Source organism: Homo sapiens, chromosome 4 (assembly GCF_000001405.40).
Source record: "Homo sapiens chromosome 4, GRCh38.p14 Primary Assembly".
Taxonomy (NCBI): domain Eukaryota; kingdom Metazoa; phylum Chordata; class Mammalia; order Primates; family Hominidae; genus Homo; species Homo sapiens.
The window spans coordinates 9,762,175-9,767,453 of NC_000004.12; the positions used below are offsets into that span (position 1 = coordinate 9,762,175).

Genomic DNA, 5,279 nt, shown 5'->3' on the forward strand with positions numbered 1-5,279 from the left:
GCTTGCTTCATCAAGCTACACTGACTTTCCCTCCAACAGTACCTAACCCGTCCACATTGTTGGGGTTGCTGCCAGCTGAGGACAGCTGGTTCACCTGCTTTGACCTGAAAGATGCTTTCTTTCCTATCAGATTAGCCCCCGAGAGGCAGAAGCTGTTTGCCTTTCAGTGGGAAGATCCGGAGTCAGGTGTCACTACTCAGTACACTTGGACCGGGCTTCCCCAAGGGTTCAAGAACTCCCCCCACCATCTTTGGGGAGGCATTGGCTCGAGACCTCCAGAAGTTTCCCAGCAGAGACCTAGGCTGCGTGTTGCTCCAGTAGGTTGATGACCTTCTGCTGGGACACCCCACGGCAGTCGGGTGTGCCAAGGGAACAGATGCCCTACACCGGCACCTGGAGGACTGTGGGTAGAAGGTGTCCAAGAAGAAAGCTCAGATCTGCCGACAGCAGGTACCTTACTTGGGATTTACTATCTGACAGGGGACGGAAGGCAGCCCAGGATCAGAAAGAAAGCAGGTCATTTGCAATCTACCGGAGCCTAAGGGCAGAAAGCAGGTGAGAGAATTCTTAGGAGTTGTGGGGTTTTGTAGACAGTGGATCCCAAACTTTGAAGTATTAGCCAAGCCTTTGTATGAGGTCCCAAAGTGGGCGGGGTCCGGGAACCTTTGGAATGGGGATCCCAACAACAGCAAGTCTTTCCTGAGTTAAAGGAAAAACTTCTGGCAGCCCCAGCCCTGGGGCTACCCGATCTGACAAAGCCTTTTCTATTTTATGTGTCAGAGAGAGAAAAGATGGCAGCTGGACTTTTCACCCAAACTGTGGGGCCCTGGCTGAGGCCACCGGCCTACCTCTCTAAACAACTAGATGAGGTAACTAAAGTATGGCCCTCCTGTTTGAGGGCCTTGGCAGCAACTGCCCTGCTAGTACAAGAAGTAAATGAGACCAGACTATTGTAGGGCATGGGAAGGGCCGGGGCCTCTGCAGGCCCTGAGGATCGCCATGTTTCCTTCTTTAGTTTTTGAGACTTTGGTGAAGATCCTCTGCCTGCTTCTAGCACACACGTCCTGACCTCCTTTCCCCTTCAAGACACAAGATGGCGCTTTAAGCCTGGTTGTTGAGAAAGAGGACTCCAAACGCTTGAGTTTCTTCCCTCTGCTCACTCTCAGATGTGGCTTGCAAGGGAATCTGTGGGGTCCACCTCTCCACAGCTTGGTGGGTGGATTCTATCTTCCTCCTCGGACAGGGGAGGACCAGCAGCCAATCACTCCTTCCTGCCGGAGAATGAAGTGGCACTCAAACTGTTTTTCTGACATCAGTAACAGCTGCCCACACTCCTCCGGCAGGCATCTCTGAAACATCAGTTTTGGGTGATTGGTCTAAGCCAAGGACCTTTGATATCAAGGGTAAGTCCGCTACCCTTTGCTGGAGATGGGCACGGAGTGGGCATGTGAAGAGTGCCAGACCAGGCATTGACAAACTATGGCTCATGAGAAGAATGGAGTGTACATTTTGAAAGGGTCATCTCTCTCTCTCTCTCTCTCTCTCTCACACACACACACACACACACACACACACACACACACACACACAGAGAGAGAGAGAATATGCTGCAGGGATCATACACGACCCGACCAACCTAAAATACTATCTGTTCCTTTATAGGAAATGCTTACAGACCCCTGGTCTAAACACTGAGAGGTAAGGGGACTCTGTTGCGCCACCCTGGAAGGATTTTGATCCCTAAATAAGAAGAGGTGAGGAGGGAGCCTGCCCTTCCTCATGGCTTGAATGTGCTTGTGAGAGGCAGTCAAGCCTGGAACTGTGGCAGCCGGCTTGTGACCATGAAGCAACCAGCCCGAGAAGAAAGGCCCACCTGCCGAGGAGGGAACAGGAGCCTGGGGCCTCAAGGATGTTGCTGAGCCTCCGTGTGCCCCTGGAGCCGCCTTCCTCTGGAGTTCTTGTGATGGCAGATAATTCAATGTTGTCATTGTTCAAGCCAGGGGTGGGTGAACTTTTTCCATAAAGGGCCACGTGGAAAACATTTTAGGCTCTGGGTGTGCCATGAGATCTCTGTGGACACTACGACCCTAAAAACAACCATAGACAATGTGTAAATGAATGGGTACACCTATGGTCCAATAAAACTTTATTTATAAAAATAGGTGGTGGGCTGGATTTGGCCCTGAGGGTCAGAGTTTCCTGTGTATTTTGTTTGTTTGTTTGTTACTTGCAGCTGACCTGTCCTAACTAGTATTCCCTGAAGTCGGCCTCAGCTCAGAAGTGCCCTTGGGTTCTAAGCCACAGGGGCTAAGCTTGAGTGTGGGCGGGGTCTGCAGCAGGGTGGTGGGAGGGATAAGCACATAAAGCCCCACCCACTGATCTGTCCTTTCTATGGTCCAGGTTGTGCTTTCCTGCAATTTCTTCTCATCATGGGCCTAGCAATCATGATGGGAAGGCACCACTTTAACAGAATGCTTTCAGCATTTCCAGGTGGTCCCTGCTTGCCCTCAACACTACACGCAGGCCTCAGCCTCCACACCTAGCACGTTTGTTAAGCAAGACTAAGCCACATGAAGCAACAGGGCAAGGGGAGGGCCCTTGTGTCCGCAGGGTCCCATGGCAGAAGTGTGGTTCGGGGAGAAATGGGGGAGTGTGCCCTTCCCTGAACAAGCACATTCCCTCAGTGTGGAGGAGCCCCTCCAACAATTTACAAGTGCTATGATGACACGATGCTCATTCAGACCATCAGCTGCAGACGGATTGCAGAAATACGTGAGGGCTGTGTCCTCAGAGGTAGGATGTGGTTGCTCCTTGTCCCTAAGCTGGGCCCTGAAGGTAGGGCAGGATTCCAGCCAGAGTGAATGGACAGTGAGGCTTTGGGGAAGGGCTCAGATTGCCTCTCGTGCTTGTGTTCACAGATTCTTGATGATTGGTCATTCTCCAGGGAGACGAGGCTTCGAGGCCAGGTCTCTGCTCTGAGTTGCCTTCACCACCCTGCACCTTGGTGGCAGTAAGAGAGCGACCTCAAAGGGCCACTGAGAGAATCGTGGGGGATGCATGTACAGCTCCAGGTATGGCACCCATGCCAGCCCATGGCAAGCTCTTACTACGGTTGCAGGTGTAATTTCCAGTCTCTGCCTCCAGGGATTGCTGCTGAGCACAGACAGACGTTTCCCTGCTTACAGAGTGAGGCCGCCAAGATGATTCTCGGATCTCTGGTTTGTATACAGCCCAAATAGCCTGTGAAAGGGGGAATGATAACCCCCAAAGATGTCCATGTCCTAACCTCCAGAACTAGTGAACGGGATGTTGGCAGAAGAGACTCTGTGGATGAGATTACTTCAAAGATTTGCAATGGGGATTCTATCATGGGTTATCTGTATGGATACGCAATGTAATCACAAAATGTCCTTATAAGTGAAGAGGGAGGCTGAGGAGATTTGACTACAGAAGAGAAGGTGATGTGACAGTGGAGGCAGAGATTGGAGTGATGTGGCCACAATTCACAATGCCAGCAGCCACCAAAGAGGCAAGGAATGGATTCTCCTCTAGGGTTTCTACCAAGGGCCCTAGCAACACTTCAATTTTAGTCCAGGAAGACTCGTTTTGGATTTGTGACCTCCAGAACTATGAGAGAATACATCGGCATTCTTTGAAGCCACCAGGTTTGCAGTAGTGTGTTAGAGCAGCGTGGAAAATCCATTGAGTCCCATTGCCCTGCTTTTTGTGCCTTGTACAAAAGCAGAAAATGGCATGGATGGAATGGGAGGTCATTATGTTAAGTGAAACAAGCCAGACACAGAAAGACACACATTGCATGTTCTCACTGATTTGTGGGATCTAAAAATCAAAACAGTTGAACTCATGGAGCTAGAGAGTAGAAGGGTGGTTACCAGAGGCTGGGAAGAGGAGTGGGGGGCTGAGGGCAGGTGGGGATGATGTTAGAAAGAATGAATAAGATGTACTGTTTGATCACACAGCAGGATGACTGTAGTCAATAATAACTTAATAGTACATTTACAAATAACTAAAAGAGTGTAATTGGATTGTTCGTATTAGAAAGGATAAATGCGCTGGGTGCGGTGGCTCATGCCTGTAATCCCAGCACTTTGGGAGGCCGAGGCGGGTGGATCATGAGGTCAGGAGATCGAGAGCATCCTGGTGAACACTGTGAAACCCCATCTGTACTGAAAATACAAAAAATGCTGCTCGGGAGGCTGAGGCAGGAGAATGTCATGAACCCGGGGGGCGGAGCTTGCAGTGAGCAGAGATGCAGAGATTATGCCATTGCACTCCAGCCTGGGCGACAGAGCTAGACTCCGTCTCAAAAAAAAAAAGAAAGGATAAATCCTTCAGGGATGGACACCCCATTCTCCATGATGTGCTTATTTCACAGTGCATGTCTGTATCAAAACATCTCATGTACCTCACATATATATGCACCTACTATGTACCCAGAAAAAAACAAAAAAGAGTATAAAAGAAAAAAAAAAATCCCAAAAGCAGAGAAGAGGGCAAATGAGAGTCGGGGACTGTGATCTCAGTTTGCCCAGGATGAAGCCGGGTGACCTGGTTACAGAGCAAGCCCCTTGGCTTCTTGAGCTCCCATCTGCAGAGTGAGGGGCGGATGCAGGGGAAGGGTGTGACTTCGATGAACATTCCCTCCAGGTGTCTCTGCCCTCGGCCCCCTCTCAGGATTGTTTGTAGCTCTTTGCCTATTCTTGGCCATTTGGAGTTTTCAGGGGCCCTACTAGGTCCTCTTGACTTCTCACTTGGCTCTCCTTGGTGGTCTAATTCATGGCCAAGGGCCCACCTGCCATCCGGACACTGCTTTTCAACCTGACCTCTCAGCTCCAGGCTGGTTATTTCCAACAGCCTACTTGGGTGTCTCAAAGGCACTTTACACTCAATGTGTCCAACACTGAACTCAAGGCTCCCGGCATCACCAGCCAGTTATCCCTCCACATTTCCAACCCCATGGATTGCACCAGTGTCTGTCCATTATGCAAGCCGGGCTGCAAAGGTTGTCTTGATGCTGCCGTTATGCTGTTGGGGCTCAGAACATGACACCCCAAAGCATGGTGCCTCAGCCTGAGTATTTTGAACTGAAGGACATTGGAAGGAACTCAGAAGCCAGGTCTTTCCAACCTTCTCCTCACACCCTCTCTTCTGCTTGCCTTCATCCTCCAAAGTGAGTCACAGAAACCAGAATTTATCTTCCTCAAGATGGGTCATAGAACCTAGAAACCCTCCTGCTAAAGCAAACCATAAAACCTAGA

General features: G+C 50.3%; 1 annotated feature.

Annotated features, from left to right (window-relative positions):
- Positions 3,055-3,104: a silencer, noted in NCBI's record as "silent region_15273". NCBI's record gives its function as "represses an Ori minimal core promoter by ATAC-STARR-seq in GM12878 lymphoblastoid cells {active_cell/tissue: GM12878}" and the evidence as "EXISTENCE:reporter gene assay evidence [ECO:0000049][PMID:35858748]".